The sequence below is a fragment of the Homo sapiens genome, chromosome 6 (genome assembly GCF_000001405.40).
Source record: "Homo sapiens chromosome 6, GRCh38.p14 Primary Assembly".
Classification (NCBI taxonomy): domain Eukaryota; kingdom Metazoa; phylum Chordata; class Mammalia; order Primates; family Hominidae; genus Homo; species Homo sapiens.
This window is the reverse complement of record NC_000006.12, coordinates 129987423-130004778: the sequence shown is the minus strand read 5'-3', so window position 1 is coordinate 130004778 and position 17356 is coordinate 129987423. Positions and strand designations below refer to the sequence as shown.

Genomic DNA, 17356 nt, shown 5'->3' with positions numbered 1-17356 from the left:
GCTGGAGTGCAATGGTGTGGTCTTGGTTCACTGCAACCTCCGCTTCCCAGGTTTAAGCAATTCTCCCACCTCAGCCTCCCAAGTAGCTGGGACTACAGGTGAGTGCCATCACACCTGGCTAATTTTTGTATTTTTAGTACAGACGGGGTTTCACTATGTTGGCCAGGCTGGTCTCTAACTCCTGACCTCGTGATTCACCCACCTCAGCCTCCCAAAGTGGGATTACAGGTGTGAGCAAACCACACCCGGCCAAGATTTGGGATTTTTAAATTAAAATTATTGAGATTCTTAGAGCCCACATGCTAGCCAAAATTGTCCTCCTATTTTTTATTAATTCAGCAAATATTTATTGAGTACCTACTATATGTCAGGCACTAAAGTAGGTTCTGAGAATAAAGCATTAAATAAGACACATAGCATCATTCTCTTTAGGATGTAAAATGTAGTGGAAATATTGTCAATAAACAGTTATAAGACATCATTATATAACCTATAGTAGATAAGTTACAGAGTCCTATGGGAACATGAAGCAAAAAAAGGTTGTTGCATATCAGGAACCAAGTGAGGTACTCCGGAGGAGATGGCACGTACGTTGATATGTGAAGATAGAATAGGAGCTATGGGATACTCTGCAATGAGCCAAAAGATTGACAAATACCAAAAAAACTTGTGAGGTTTCGCTGGGAGCAGGAAGAGGGGAATTGAGGACTATCATTTTAAAAATTGTTTGAAAATGTTAACATTCTTTTAAAAATTCATCCCTGCACACAAAGATGCTTAATGATCCCATATTTATGAGCTTACAAGCACTTCCCTGCAGCGTCTAAGCAAGAACGCAAGAATCTGTTTTGCTTTTCCTTAACAGTCTTTGCCTGGAATCCATCTCCACTGGCTCTGAAGTCTTGCCTCTGTAATGATGGTCACTGTGAACTCGGGATTTGAAAATGCTGGGACCTCCTGTTCATTAGTGCAGTTAGTGCCAGCTGCTTCAGGCCTTCCAACAAAAGTTGTCAAATTGTTTCAACCATGTACCAGACAAATACCAAAAACTTATGACTTCTCCCAAATCACACTGATATAGAATAATCAACAACACATTTTATCTATTACAATGGACTTTCCAGCTTAATTTTCATTTCAATATTTTCAAGTTTTAATCAGTTAACATTAACTTTTGATTCTAAGCATGTAAACTGCGTATGTGTATACACACTCAGCACTCAACTCTGCTGTATTCAAGTGAACACAGATTATGACACTGATGTAGCCTATTTGTATAGGGCTGTAATACATACCTTACTTTCTTAAAAAAAGTATAAGCTTATACATTGTACAACATATATCGAAATTACATATGCATTTAATCTTTGACTAGCATTTCTACTTTTGTCCTACAGATCTTACCACACATTTGACATGATATGGATACAAAGTTATTCAATGTGGCAGTGTCTGTATAAACAAAATAATTTTAACAAATCATCAGCATGACATTGGCATAAAAATTACATAAATTCTTGCAAAGAGATAAATAATTACATAATTTCTTGCAAAGAGATTTATGTAACCATAAAAAGAATAAGGAATCTCTATATGTCTTGATATGGGTCAATTCTGAAGACGTGTTGTTAAGTTAGGAAGGCAAGGTGGAGCAAGAGTAAATGCAATGTGTTTTGTATAAGAAAAGAATACATAAAGGATATGGGCCTGGTGCGGTGGCTCATGCCTGTAATCCCAGCACTTTGGGAGGCCAAGATGGGCGGATGGCTTGAGGTCAGGAGTTTGAGACGAGCCTGGCCAACATGGCAGAAACCCCATCTCTACTAAAACTACAACAATTAGCCAGGTGTGGTGGTGCACACCTGTAATCCCAGCTACTTGGGAGACTGAGGCAGGAGAATCACTTGTACCCTGGAGGTGGAGGTTGCAGTGAGCTGAGATCACACCACTGCACTCCAGCCTGGGTGACAGAGCGAGACTCTACGTAAAAAAAAAAAATTATATATATATATACACACACACACATATATACACATAAATAATATGGATGTAGCATAGATATGAAGAAAGTTAATATACGCATAGACAAATGGTTGTTGGTCTCAGGACCAGTTTACACCCTAATAGGGAATTCAAATAACTTTTGTTACGTGGGTTATATCGACCAATGTTTACCACATAAGAAGTTAAAATCCTGTAATCCTAGTACTTTGGGAAGCCAAAGCAGGGGCATCATTTGAGCCCAGGACTTTGAGACCAGCCTGGGCAACATAGGGAGACTCTGTCTCTAGAAATAATTTTTTAAAAATTAGCCAGGCATGGTGGCATGTGCCTATGGTCGCAGCTACTGAGGAGGCTGAGGTGAAAGGACTGCTTGAACCCAGGAGGTTGAGGCTGCAGTGAGCTGTGGTCATGCCACCGCACTTCAGCCTGGGCAACAGAGTGAGACCCTATCTCAAAAAAAAAAAAAAAAGACATTAAAACTGAGAAAAAATTTAAATATTTATTTCAGAATGGCAATGATAAACTTATTACATGTTAACACAAATAACATATTTTTATAAAAAATAACTGGGTTTTCCAAAATAAAAAAAAAGTTGAGTGGTATATTGTTATATTTTTGCAAATCACTTGAAGGTCTACCCTAATAGAATACATCTGGATACTTATACCTGCCTTTGCATTCAATTTATTGTGCTATGTTGTCCTGGTTGAAGTATACAAAGAAATATTCATGCAGATATGAGGCTAGGAAACGAAGAAGTATTTTTAGAGCCTTTTCAGATAATTGTGGATATTCTTTGATATTACACAAAACTTGACAACTAGTAGTTTCTCAAAGGTTATAGTATCTGATATATTATCAAATACTTATTCATACTCTGTTACATTAAAATATATTGTTCCCTTCCATTTTGAGTGGTTCTTTTACCTATGCATGATTTTTTAAAGATCTGGAAAAATACTGATCCACTGAATTATATATCTTCCAAATATTAACACATTTTATTCTACAATTTCAAAAAATTGCATATGTTTTATCACTATCAATTACGACAGAAAAGTTTTTAGGTATTGAGAGCTGTTGAGCTCAAAGTGGTAGATAAAAGCTTTCTAAAATTCTAATTTTTACTTAAAAGTTCAAATTTTATCATTTGCAATTCATATTATCATTCATTTCTTTCTTCCAAGTAACAGGCTTATTTTATTCATTTTTGAAAAAATATTTGCCAAACAGTCTCTGACTAACCGTGGTTTGCTTGTCATTCTTTCAAGTAAACATGGTGCTCCTTGAAGTAGAAAAACAGGAAACTATATGTGACTGCAACCGATTAAGGACATCCAAGAATCCCTGATTACCATTGACTTTTCTCCCTCCAATAGTCCCATCTCCATTCCCAAGCAATAAATCTGCACAACAAAGGTAAGCACTTATCACATAGAAGGAGCTGCCCTTTTCCATAAACTGTCATGCTTTCCTGCATCCTTATCTTGGTCTACCTGACTCACCTTGCCCTTCTATTATCTATAGCAACAGTCATAAACTCAGTTGCTCACAGGTTCCCGGCGGGTAATACCAATGAATAAAGCAGGCCATGAAAAAGAAGTGAGTGGCCCTCCATGTGGCTTGCATATTTCTGCTTATGGTAGAGGTAGACAGTAGAAAATATGTCACATTCCTCCTCACTCTATCATAAGAAAAACAAAAAGTTCAGGTGTGATAAGAAATGGGACCTGACATCTGCCCTCTGAGTCAGAAGGATAAGAACAACTGGAGGGGATGCTGGCAAGCTGGAGAGCACAGGCCTGGGTCAAGAGGGGACCTGCTCCTCGGCTCTCCTCAGCAGCTCTGGATCTGCTGTTGCCATTGGAAATGTGCACTCAGTGTGATGGTCATATATTTCACTTTACAAGAAAAGGTGGAAATCTGGATTTTTATGGGACATTTTCTAACTTTTAAAAATCAGCAACTACTTGGAAAAAAAGTCTTCTAAAAGACTATGCAGTCTTTGCCTGCAGGCAATCACTCTCTTTGTCAAAGAAAATGAGCCTGGGGGCTGATTTCAGACCATAGGCATATAGCTTGACATCTCTGATCTAAATTAACTTTCTAATATCTTAGTGAATACCAGCTGAGCCCAAAGAGGATTTCAAGGCAGCTGACCTGTTTCTCTTCACCAGGACTGCTTATTCCAGCCAAGGCTAACTTCCCAGTGAGGGAAAAAGAACTATCGGCAATTAAAGGTATCTTGGCTATACACCTAATTAAAGAGGCTCAGCACGCTGGGATAGGTGCACACTCGAAGGCTGTGAGTAGTACAGGCAAACTTGAAAACTGTTCACATCAGAGGAGGTGGGCTCTGTTGTCACTAATGAGAGACAGGAACTCAAGCAATCACACAGACACCCTGCTCTATAAGCCACAATATGAGCCCATCACAAGTGATATTCCAGTGCCAAAACTTTGGGATCTTTCAGCTTCAGTCAGATTTAGGGAAGGTAATCCCAGGGAAGCCAATTAATACCTATATGCACAGCACCTGGGCAGTATTCAGGGCTGCCTTATGGTGGCCACCAGTGGAAGGAGGCTACCTAACCAACCCTGCCAGATCTATTTCTTGGCATCAGATGCACACACACAAATGCTGTGTTTCTTCCATACTGGGCAGTTGTGGTCCACTAAAAATATTTGAAATGGCCCTTGGGAATTTCTGGTGACTCTGCCTTTTCATGTTAACATCCAAAATGCAAACTCCTATATCACATGCACACAGGCAACATACATCTGGGAAATAATTACTTCAAGCCCTCTTGAGCTCCAAGCACCTCTGAGATAATAACACCCTGTATTTTATCACTGGCTTCTCCCCTTTTCCTTCTGAAGATACAATATCATTCTGGTGGAAGTAGATGCCCTCAGCAAAATGACATGCATAATCTCTGTATGGGAAGTCCAATGCTTCTTTATTCATCATAGAAATATTTTACTTCCATACATTACAAGCCACTTCATCTACCCACTCTAAAAATATTTTATTCAGACATTTAAATCCATTTATCTAACTACAGTAAATAATAGACCAGGCAGAAGAAATACAAAACAAACAAACAAACACCTCATCTTCCCAATAATACACCTGGTCTACCACACTTGCTAAGTGCAGAACTCATTACAAATCTCCACCAAAAGCATTATCCTCTATAGTAAAAAAGAAAAAGAAAAAAAAATTCCTACTCCTGTAACTTCTTTGCATCACCATCTTTTTAGAGACTGTTGAGTGCATGGAATCACTTCAAGCTACCCAAGAGGAGTTACAGGACTTGCTTGAATATGACAAAGACACAAAACCAAAGATATTGGACCTAGAAGACAAAGTCAGAATTGGAGGGACCATTTGTCATTCTTCTCCAGGCACATTCATTCTCTCTAGCTTCTCAAAGTTGTTAGAAGACTATTTCTCAGGACTGCCAAAATTGTGAGAGTAATCACTGAACCTCAAATGGTCATTAGATTATCAAATAATTAGATACGAACTGCTCAGCCCTAAGATATCTCCGGTTCGCTTACTCAACTTGAAAGTATAAAAATAAATTAGTCCAATATCTAGACAGAAAATCAAATCACCTACAAAAAAAAAAGATTAGCATCACACTTTTCTCCACAGCAGTACTTAATGCCAGAGACGATGGTGAAATACCAAAAGTATTCTAAAGTAAAGAAAGTAGGACCAAAGAACATTTTCTCAGGCCTACTGTACATTAGCAAAAATGAACATACTTAAGCAAGAAAGACCTCAGGGAATATAACGCACCAAGCTCTTCTTGCAAAGAAAAATAAATTCGATTTCAAAATCCAGTTGATTAGAAAATGAATCAAAATTAGAAATTGAGGACTAGATAAATAGTGGCAGAACAACACATGAGGTGAGCAATTAATCCATTTCCATATAGGAAACTACTAGAAAATACCCAGCTTACTGGGTATATAAATACAGTAAGTCTTGACAGCATACAAATAAAACAACTCGCAAACATGGCAAAGTTGAGAGGCAGATGACAAGAAGCATGACTGCTGAAGTCTTCATCTTTCATAGCAATAAATCAATTGATATTGTCTAAAAGCAAAGCATTTAGTTGAAACAAATAACAACTTTGACCTCTTTCTTTTTAAATAAACTCTTTTAAGCTTTTTGAATTTTTTAAAATTTTATTTATTTATTTATTTATTATTTTAGAGACAGGCTCTTTCTCCATTGCCTAGGCTAGAGTACAGTGGCATAATCATGGCTTACTGCAGCCTCAAACTGCTGGACTCAAACTATCCTCCTGCCTCAGCCTCCCGAGTAGCTGGGACTACAGGTGTGCACCACCATACCTGGTATGGATAATTTTTTTTAAATTATTTTTTGTAGAGATTGGGTCTCACTGTGTTGCTCAGGATGGTCTCAAACTCCTGGCCTCAAGCCATTCTCTCACCTTGGCCTTCTGAAGTCAGGCAACTATATGGGGTGAGCCTCCACACCCTACTGTTTAATTTTTAAAAAGAAGAAACAATGGGCCGGATGCAGTGACTCATGCCTGTAATCCCAGCACTTTGGGAGGCTGAGGTGGGTGGATCATGAGGTCAAGATATCGAGACCATCCTGTCCAACATGGTGAAACCCCATCTCTACTAAAAATACAAAAAAATTACCCGGGCGTGGTGGCAGGTGCCTGTGGTCCCAGCTACTTGGGAGGCTGAGGCAGGAGAATCACTGGAACCTGGGAGGCAGAGGTTGCAGTGAGCCGAGACTGCGCCACTGCACTCCAGCCTAGTGACAGAGCGAGACTCCATCTCAAAAAAAAAAAAAGAAAAAAAAAAAAAACAGAAGAAACAATGTGTTTTGTGCTGAAGAAAAATATTTGAAGTCTAGCAATTCTTTTCATTTTTCTTCTATTAAATAAAATTAAAATTGTTATTTTTCAAATGAGATCATTTTACAAAAGTCCATCCTTCCATCCATCCACCCAGTTGTCTTTCTTGTGTGCTTTCTATGTGAATAATGGTGAATACCGGAGGGCAGTTCAGATGCTTCCGTTTGTACACATGCATAGAAGGATGGTTAGAATAAAGTTGCCATAGTGTTAATGCCTATTTCTTGGTTGTAGAATTTGTGATTGTTTAAACTTTCTCCACATTTTTCAGTATTGCTTACAAATTTCCAAGCATCCACTCTTTTAACAAAATTGGGTTTTTTTTGTAAATAAAAGCAAAGAAATCAAATTTAATTTATATTTTTCAAGTCTTCCTCACATAGCATTGAGGAAATAAAATATTTAAGTAAATGAATGACTTAACCTTGAATGGCCCCATGTACAAGGCGACCATCCAGAAACTGGGCTTGCTTGCAGTGTTTTGCTTCAATTCCATCTCCCCAGCTACATACCCTTGACTCTGCAATCCCAAACTTGGGTCCCACCCTTGGCCTCTCCATCCCCAGTGTTTGACAACTAATTTCCCCCTATGGACTCCATTCATTCTCCAAGTGTCCTGGAGGAATCCATGCTGCAATTTTAGTTCCCTCAAGACAGCAGTGCCTCCTCCCTTCTTTGAGTCTGATTTCAATCTACATAGCGAGCATTTATTCTACTCAAATTAATTTAACAGAACCCTAGGGTTTGTTCACAATTGTAATTTATGACTTACTAGAAATTATTTATTCTGACTTTCTGCTGAGTATCAAGATTCTAATACATTTTACCATTTTAGTAATACTATATATAATATTGGATAAAATTAGAAACAACTTTATTTTAATTAGCTATCCAGCATCCAAACCCCTGCCTTTGTTTGAGGGATTTTCCAAGGTATGGACCTTTCCTTCACCTGTTTTTGGCTATTGACAAGTTGAGAAGTCTGTAACACACACACATACACACACACACACACACACACACACACACACACACACATCTCATGTACATCCAGACCTAGACATGCCCAGTCACTTGAACCAGTTTAAGATTAGAATCTGGAGGGAGTGAGTGAGGCAGAGAAATAGGATGAGTGGAAAATTCATTTTGGTGGCAGCAGCCATAGCAATAGTCACTAGATGCAGTGCCATCGGCAGTGTGCGTGTCCCGTGCTGGTGGAGACAGGTGGGTGAGCTGCAGCCTCTATTGTTCAGCCGTGGCTATGATTCCAGCTGCTTAGCCTTCCTTTGTTCCTGCCGGTTTTCAAAGCCTGGCAATTTTAGTCTTCCTGGTAATTCTGTGGGCTACCGAACAACCTTTCAATAAATTCCTTTCTGTTTCAAGCAGCTTGCATCAGTGTCTATTGCTTGCAATTAAAAACCTTGACTGATACTGTACTTGCATTCTGTGTATATATATGTATATTTTAAATTATTGGCTTAGGACCTCCTACCTTAAATTCAAATTCTGATAGTTGTCTGTATTGCTAATTCTGCCTATTCTCTTGATAACCTATTTATCTGTGTTTTGTTTGTTTCTTTAACTATGGATTCCATTTTTGTTTTCTAGTAATTCATTCACATTGCACTCAGTGTTGTGCTGTTACATAAGGATAAAGAGAAAAATGATACTCTGTCTGCCATTGAAGAGTTCAAATTCTAGTGGGGGGAGGATCAGCCGGGCACAGTGGCTCACACCTGTAATCCCAGCACTTTGAGAGGCCCAGGCAGGCAGATCACTTGAGGTCAGGAGTTCGAGACCAGCCTGGCCAAGCTGGTGAGACCCCCCCCCCATCTCTACTAAAAATACAAAAATTAGCTGGGCGTGGTGGTGCATGTCTGTAGTCCCAGCTACTTGGGAGGCCAGGCAGGAAAGCAGGAGAGTCACTTGATCCCAGGAGGCGGAGGTTGCAGTGAGCCGAGATTATACCACTGCACTCCAGCCTGGGCGACAGAGGCTCTGTAAAAAAAAAAAAAAAAAAAAAGAAAGAAAAAAAATTCTAGTGGGGAGGATAAACAAGGAATCAAATAACAAGGTGGTAATCATGAAATAGGGGTGGACCCGAGGTGTAATAGAAGCAGAGAAGAAGAGTTCAGAGGAGTGGCACCTCAGGAGTCAGGAAACCCCACCCTGTGAGGGGACTTTGAGGGATGAGTAGAGATGAACACAGGGAATCAGTGCAGGAGACAGTGAGGTAGTGCAGTATGTTCAGGAATCATCTCTAAAGTTGGGTTTCTGAAGGGACAAGTGCAATGGGCGTGTTTGAGGGTTGAGTTCCCAATCTTCTGTGATCAGAAGAAGTACTTGGGGCTTGTAAAGGTTTAGATATCTAGGGCTCCTCCTCCAAGGTATCTGACTCAGTAGGGCTGAACTGAGGCCCCAGGTGACGCACATGAAAGGGAAAATGTCTTGAGGAATGAGGCCAGAGGCAAAACCCATGAAGGGCTTTGCATGCTAAGAAGTTTGAATTTTATCGTAAAAGCAAGGACCTCTTGAAGGATTTTAAGAAGAGTAGTGACAAAATCAGATCTGCATTTTAGAAAGTTCATTCAAGCAGCATTAAGAGTTAAAGAAAAAGGAAATTGGATAAGGAAGGCCAGTTAGGTTATTAGAAGTTCAATACTCTGGCTGAGAGGTAATATGTGCTCGAACTAAGGCTGTAATCTGCAAAACAGAATCAACAGATGGAATTACCACCAGATCTGGTAGCTCTCTGTGGGGTTAAGAAGGGAAGAGTCTAAAATGACTGCTAGCCTTAGGGTTTGCACACTTTGTGGATAAGTTTGATATTATCTGGATGACACAGAGAAGAGAAAAACAATACAAAAACAAAATGATGAGTTCAATTTTGGCCATGTTGAATTTTAGGTGCATGTGGGATGACCATCAGTCAAATGTCTTATGAGATCTTATACACGGGAGTCTGGAGCTAAGAACATGCATCTGCAGAGAAACAACAGACCGATTGTTTTCCAGATATAGAAAAAAGTTTTGTCGGTGCCATTCAAAGAGCTGAAAAGAAGGCCATGGTGTCCCGGCCAGAAAGGTCCACTCCAAGTTGCATACATGGCGATGCATCCCAATATCCATTCACCTAGAGACTCATGAAAAGCGAAAATTCCTAGGCCGTACTGACTGAGTTCTAAGGTAGGGCCCAGATATCTGTATTTAAAGAAACTGGAAACTCCCTAAGTGATTTTGTTGAGTAATTGGGTTTCAGAACCCTCATATAGGATGGTAGTTCCTGAATGTGCTGCAGATTAGAATCACCTGCTGCACATTGGCTTTTAAAAAGTCTAATGTCTCAAGTCTTATCCCATACCAATTAAATCAGTATGTCTGGGGTGGCCAGGTGTTAGCTGCTCTTAATGAACCCCAAGTGATTCCAATGTGAAATAAAATTTGGGAACCACTGATGTCCATTACTGTTAGCTAGATTAGGCCAAATGAAGTGTTTACACACAGCAGCTGAAAGACATGTAGTCAAAGTCCTGGGCATGATTATAGCCAAGGAGCAAGGCCAGATCAGAGCTGAAGAGGCAGCACCAAGCATCAGACCTACTGTGAAGAGGAGGTAGATAAAGCTGACCCATGTGACCTACATAAAAATAAGTGCGGGACTAACACTCTATGAGTGCTATAAGATTAATGATGTTCTGGATAGAAACAGGGAAATAAGTAAAAAGGTCCAGGTTCTCTTATTTCTGTGAACAGATAGCTGAAAGATTCTAAGTAAATTTATTTGAGATTGTACTTGAAGCAAACAGGGATGGAATTAAAGAATGCTGAGCAAGCTCTGAGGTGCAGGATCCTTTCAGAGGCATCAAAGGAAGTGATATCATTATATTTAGGGAAAATGGAAAGGCACATCAGAAAGGTAGAAGGAAAACAGCAAGGGTGATACTGCAGAAGTTAATGGCAGAGAGAATTTCAAGGATGGAATAATCATAGGGTCCAATGCTGCAGGGAGAAGTGGTAGGAGAACTGAAAAATGCTCATTGGAAGTCCGGGCATGGTGGCTTATGCCTGTAATCCCAGCACTTTGGGAGGCCGAGGTGGGCAGATCACCTGAGGTCAAGAGTTCGAGACCAGCCTGACCAACATGAAGAAACCCCATCTCTACTAAAAATACAGAAAATTAGCTGGGTGTGGTGGCACATGCCTGTAATCCTAGCTACTTGGGAGGCTGAGGTAGGAGAATCACTTGAACCTGGGAGGCAGAAGTTGCAGTGAGCTGAGATGGTGCTACTGCACTCCAGCCTGGGCAACAAGAGTGAAACTCCATCTCAAAAATAATGCTCATTGGACATTTCCCTTCATTTATGTTAAAAAAAAAAAACTGGAGGATAGGATGCCTTTTCTCTTGCATCCTACTTGCTAACCAATATCTTAACCTCATGGAATTGGTGCATTACTGAGGGATGGAGAAGTACTATTTGAACTGCATAGCCCATTAGCATCATCTTTTCTTAAAGCCACGCTGCACAGAAATGATGACATTTCTAACAGAAGCATCCCGAAACAGGTCCCTAAAATAAAAGGAAAGGAATACTCCAAACACTGTGAAACCAAGGAAAAAAAAAGGGAAAGGAATAAAATGCTGGCTGGCTGTGACCTCTGACTAAAAGGAGTCAAACGCTTTAGTTTAGAGAGGTAAAGGCTGAGGGCTGTGATTGAAGCATCCAATTAGTCATCAAGTCTTCTCTATTCTCCTCTGCGACGAATCTCATTTACATCCACTTTATGCCATTCTCTCTCCCACTGGCTTTGTCCATTCTCCAGTGAACAACTCTGTTACTAGTCTCTGGGCTTTAGAAGCTGGTTCATCCTACCATGTCTCACACTGGCTGGGCTCCTGCAGCTCTTTCCTCTGAGAATGTACTTTCTGCATCCCATTCCCTGTCTAACAAATCAAGAAAGGACAGATGAGCTCTGAGTCAGATTGTCTGGGTTTGTGTTCCCTGCCCTGCCATCTACCTGTCGTGTGACCTCAAGCAAACAATGTAAGCACTCTGTGTATTATTTTTACCCCTGTAAAAGGGGCAATGACAGTGCTTACCTGATAGGAATGTTATGAGAATGAAATGAGCTATACGTGGAAGGTGTACGACGAGCAGTGTAACATTAAACAATTCATCCCACTCAGATTGTTTTCTCATCTATAAAATGCCTACAAAAATCATATCCACCTTATATTGTTATGGAGGTTAAATTAGAAAATGCACCTGAATCAAATCAGCCTAGCGCCTAGTACATACTAAGCATCAACAGATAGCAGTGGATAAAACTATTAGATCCCAAGTAAAACAGCTATGAATGCTTTCCTATTCCCAATTTAAATAAATCATTTCTTACTCCATATTCTGCTCTTCATTTTAGTTTTAGTATGGCCATTATTTCTGTCTTTTAAAAAAAATTTTAATTTTTTTAGAGACAGGCTCTCACTCTGTCACCCAGGCTGGAGGGCAGTGATGCAATCATAGCTTACTGCAGCCTTGAAATCCTGGGCGTAAGCAATCCAAAGCCTCCTGAGTAGCTAGGACTACAGGTGTGTGCACATCATGCCCAGCTAATTGCTAAAAAACTTTTTTAGAGACAAGGTCTCTCAATGTTACCCAGGCTAGTCTCCAACTCCTTGCCTCAAGCAATCCTCCTGCCTCCACCTCCCAAAGTTTTTTTCTTTTAATTGTTAATTATTTACATCTGCATCCTCTCCTCCAGCTGATTAATCTGAGAACAGAGAACCATATTTTGTTAATGTATGGTTATACATTATAGAACCATGCCATGATTTTTAAAAATTCACATAGTAGGTGCTCATTAACTGGTAGGGGAATTACTTTACTTACATTTTTATAATTTTTTTCTTGTAAGTTTATATTGTAAATTTTCATGATACTCAGTATGGATGCAACGAGAACACGGGAAAACCTTGTAGGTTGCAGTGCAAACTGGAACAATCTTTTGGAAGAAAACATGGCAACCAGACTTTCCAAAAATAGGAGACTGATTAAATAAGTTACGGTGTATTGATATGATGGAATAATATAGAATATCACTATTTCTAAAATGTATCATAAGAGTAATAAAAGATATATAACAATGGAAATTGTTTCCTTTTGTGTAAAATTAAAGAGATATGATAGGCATAACTTTATGCATATTTATGCTTTTTTAAATTGGAAAGTATGATAAGTAATTATGTACTTGGAGAAGGTGGTAGGCCAAAGGAAGAAGGGAATGAGGCCTTTCACTTTCCATTTTGTAACTTTTTTTTTTTTGAGACGGAGTCTTGCTCTGTCGCCCAGGCTGGAGTGCAATGGCGCGATCTCGGCTCAATGCAAGCTCCGCCTCCCGGGTTCACGCCATTCTCCTACCTCAGTCTCCCGAGTAGCTGGGACTACAGGTGCCCGCCACCACGCCTGGCTAATTTTTTTGTATTTTTAGTAGAGACGGGGTTTCACCGTGTTAGCCAGGATGGTCTCGATCTCTTGACCTCGTGATCCGCCCGCCTTGGCCTCCCAAAGTGCTGGGATTACAGCCGTGAGCCACCGCGCCCGGCCTCCATTTTGTAACTTTCTACACTGTCTAAATGTTTTCACCGTATACATGTGTTATTACTCTTTTTTTAAATGTTTTAGAGAAAGGAGATTAGGGCATACACTTTTTTGGTTGTTTTATTCTTTGTACCTCAGTGTATTTTTTTTAAGCATTGCAAAAAATTCCCCATATTAAATGCTTTCCAAAATCATATTTTAGTAGTCCGGTAACATTCTACCATGTAACACATATCATGATTTATTAATCCCTTTTGTTAAGTATTTAAATGTACAATGTTTTGGCAGTTATAATACTAAAATGAGTATTTGATATCTTGAGATAAGTTCTGGAAGTGGAATTGCCGAGGCAGTAGTAAAATTTTGCCATTGATAACCCTTCTAAGAACAGCAGGTATTAGAGTACTCTCCTGGGTACCTTGAAGGGTTTGGTATCAACTCTGGAATACGAAATTTGAAAGAGCTAAAATGCTCTGCGCAACACAGAATTTTGAACCCCCAGAGGCAATTGGGGGAAAATAAGGCAGGGAAATAAGACATAAAAATGTGTGCTTCAAGGATGCAGGATGCGGCCCCCTCCCTGTGAGTGGATTTCTATTGGAGACTTGTGAAGAAGATGAACTGTTACACAGAGAAACAAAAACAGCATACAGCCTGAGGCCAATTACACCATCGAGCATAAACCTGGGAGTTAACAGGAACCATGGGGAGGACTTGAGAGTGTCACCAATCAGGGAGCTGGGCATGGAGTTGAATATAACTGACTTGCTTTCTCAGGCCAGACTTTCCACTTCTCTTTACCATACACACCCCTCCTCTGAGGACCTCTGTTTTACAGGTTGGTAAAATCTTGTGATCTATATTACCAAATTGCCTTTTGTAGGGCAGGGGATGTACACATTTATGCTTTCACCAGCCATGGAGAAAGAGGCCTGATACACCCCACCATCACCAATACTGGGTATTACAGTTTTTAAACCTTCAGCAATTTAATGGAAATTTTTTTTTCTCATTGTTTACTTATACATGATTTTACATTTTAGAAAGGTTGACAATTTTTTCATCTTCATCTCATTTCTTGGAGAAAATAGAAGCCATCAAACAGGACCCTATTTATCAAAACACACTGATATAATAGATACCACCTCTATGACACTTGGTATGTGTTGGACATGGTTTAAGTGCTCTTATAAATATTAACTCATTTAAAAATTCACATGACAAATCTATAACATAGGTGATACTTTCCCTGCATTTTATAGGTGAAGAACTTGAAGTCTAGAAAGAGCATAACTTGACCACACTTACAATAAATGGAAGAAGTTGGATTCCAGCCTGGTTCCAGCTCCTAAACTCTCTGACATGCTACCTCTTCTTTCTTTCTCCATCCTTAGCAACTTAGCTTCATCATGTCCCCTCCACTGCTTTTAGGCCCTTTCAAATGTCAAAGGCCAATCCTTCCGTTCTGCTTTGAGAGCCAGTGCTCCTGCCTTCTAAGAGTCCTCTCCATCCATTCTCTTCCTCTCTCTTGCTCATCTTCAACATCCCTTCAGTCCTAATATCACTCACCTTAAACAAAAAATAAAAATGAAACAATCACAGTAAAAAGGAAACAACAACAAGAACAAACCTGTCAAACCTATATTTCCTTCCCTCTACCACAGATTTCCTCTGTATGATTATCTGCACAGTCTCTAGGCTTTCACCCTCCATTCCTACTCAATCCACTCCAACCTTGTCTCTGCTTCAACCAGCACACTAAACTGCATTTGCCAAGTGCATCAATGACGTTAGTTTTTTTCAAATCCAAGGGATTTTAAAAATTTAATTAGATACACTGGACCATTCCCTTTTTTTGATATACTTGATAGACTACACACTTAGGATTTTTATTTTATGCTCTGTGTAGCAATCTCAGTGTTGTTAGCTCCTCTTCCTATGCCTAACCTCTAAATCTTAATTTTCATGAAAACTTAGACCTTTTGTCTCTTTCCTTCTCACTGTACTCACTCTCTCAAGTTGACCATATTCAGTCTCATGGTTTTAAAAACTATTGTCTAACAGGTGATGCCTCCCTAATTTATTTTACGTGCCAGTTCCACTGGGATGTGTCTCAGGCATCTCAAACTTAACCTACCAAAACTGAATTCTTTATTTTCCTACCAAATCAGAAATATTCTTTCCTACCCCCTACACCTAATAAATTCCATGATGTCAGGGGTGAAGTTTGTGTTGATGTCTAGAACCTAGCATAGTTACTTATATAATACATAGGTGATGCCAATCAATGAGTTTAATGAGTGAATGAATGAATTGAAATTTTTTGTTTGAGATAATTTGGAACTCTCTTTATAGATCTACATTATAGATCTATAAAGAATTATCTTTATAGATCTGCATTATTAACCAATTATAGACTTACAGATCTGTAATTGGTTAACAATGCACATTCAAAATTAGTGAAAGAAAGAATATATATAGTGAATGACTGAAAATTAGGAAGGGACTTTAGACATTTTTTAGTATATAAGGTTTTAGAATTGAAAGGAATCGTAGTTCAGATGTCTTGTTTTATAGATACAAAAATTATTGTTTGTTAACTTGCTTGTCCAATATGACATTAGTCTTGTTAGAGCTGGCATAGAACCTAGAGTCTTGTTACAAGATAGTATATTGTGTATAGATTTATTATACTTAATTTGTGTGTATATGTCTGTATATTTGTGTGTATGTATGTGTATATATATGTGTGTGTGTATATATATATATTCATACAATGAATTCATACAATGATTATCTGTATCACTAACTGAAAACATCTTAGTTATTTCCTACCTACTCCCCAACAGTATCCCCAGAGCCCAAAGAAGTACCTGACACATAATGGATGGTCAATAAATATTGTTGACTGAGTGACCTGCAGACTTTTAAATCTTAGTAACAACTGAAATAAACCCTAAGCTTGTTTCTTTATAAATGTAGTCACCTATTTTCTAAACAGCAATAACAGTGGAACCCAAGATGTATGGTATGAGAAGTATGAATGAGATTACACGGTCGATAAGACATTTGGAATTGAGCTTGTGTTTTAGAATCTGGGGTCTGTAGTTCTTCTAAAAAGAGGACCAACTACTTCTTCCAAATTTTCTTTCTCTGTCAGGTATTTTATAAACCTTGTCTCATTTCATCCTGGCAGCGCAGCTATTAATAGATAGGTGTTATAATCATTTTACATATAAGGAGACAAACTCAAAAGAATAAATAATTTTCCCAGAGTTGTCTAACAGGTAAATATCATAGATGCAGTTTAAATACAAATCTGAAGCCACAGCATAGGCGATTTCACCTCTGATAGGCTGTCTTCTCCCAGACTGAGAAAAACTGTTATTTTTCACTTATTAGACTACTAAGTTCAAATTAATTTTAGGTGGGATGGGGGAGGAAGAGAGGAATTATGCCTGTTTCTTTTTTTCGTCTAAAAGAAACCCCAACAAGATAAAAAAAAAAAAAAAAAAAACAAAACTTAAGAGTTTGTGAGAACCAAACTCTAACTCAAGCTTGTCTACTCTGCACCCCATGGGCCGTGTGGAGCTCAGTAAGGCTTTGCATATGACCCAACACAAATTTGTAAACTTTCTTAAAACGTTATGCGATTTTTTTTTTAGCTCATCAGCTATTGTTAGTGTTAGTGTATTTTATGTGTGACCCAAGACAATTCTTCTTCCAGTATTGGCCCAGGGAAGCCAAAAGATTAGACACCCCAGCTCTGACTTATTTTTTCATGTTTAAATCAATTTTGCTGAGGATGATTTACATAAAAAATGCATCCATCTGAAGTTTATAGT

At 39.0% G+C, this 17356-nt stretch overlaps 1 annotated feature.

Annotated features, from left to right (window-relative positions):
* Positions 3142-3699: an enhancer, noted in NCBI's record as "OCT4-NANOG hESC enhancer chr6:130322225-130322782 (GRCh37/hg19 assembly coordinates)". NCBI's record gives its function as "activates a minimal SCP1, AML or CMV promoter by ChIP-STARR-seq in naive H9 embryonic stem cells {active_cell/tissue: H9 hESC(naive)}" and the evidence as "EXISTENCE:reporter gene assay evidence [ECO:0000049][PMID:30033119]".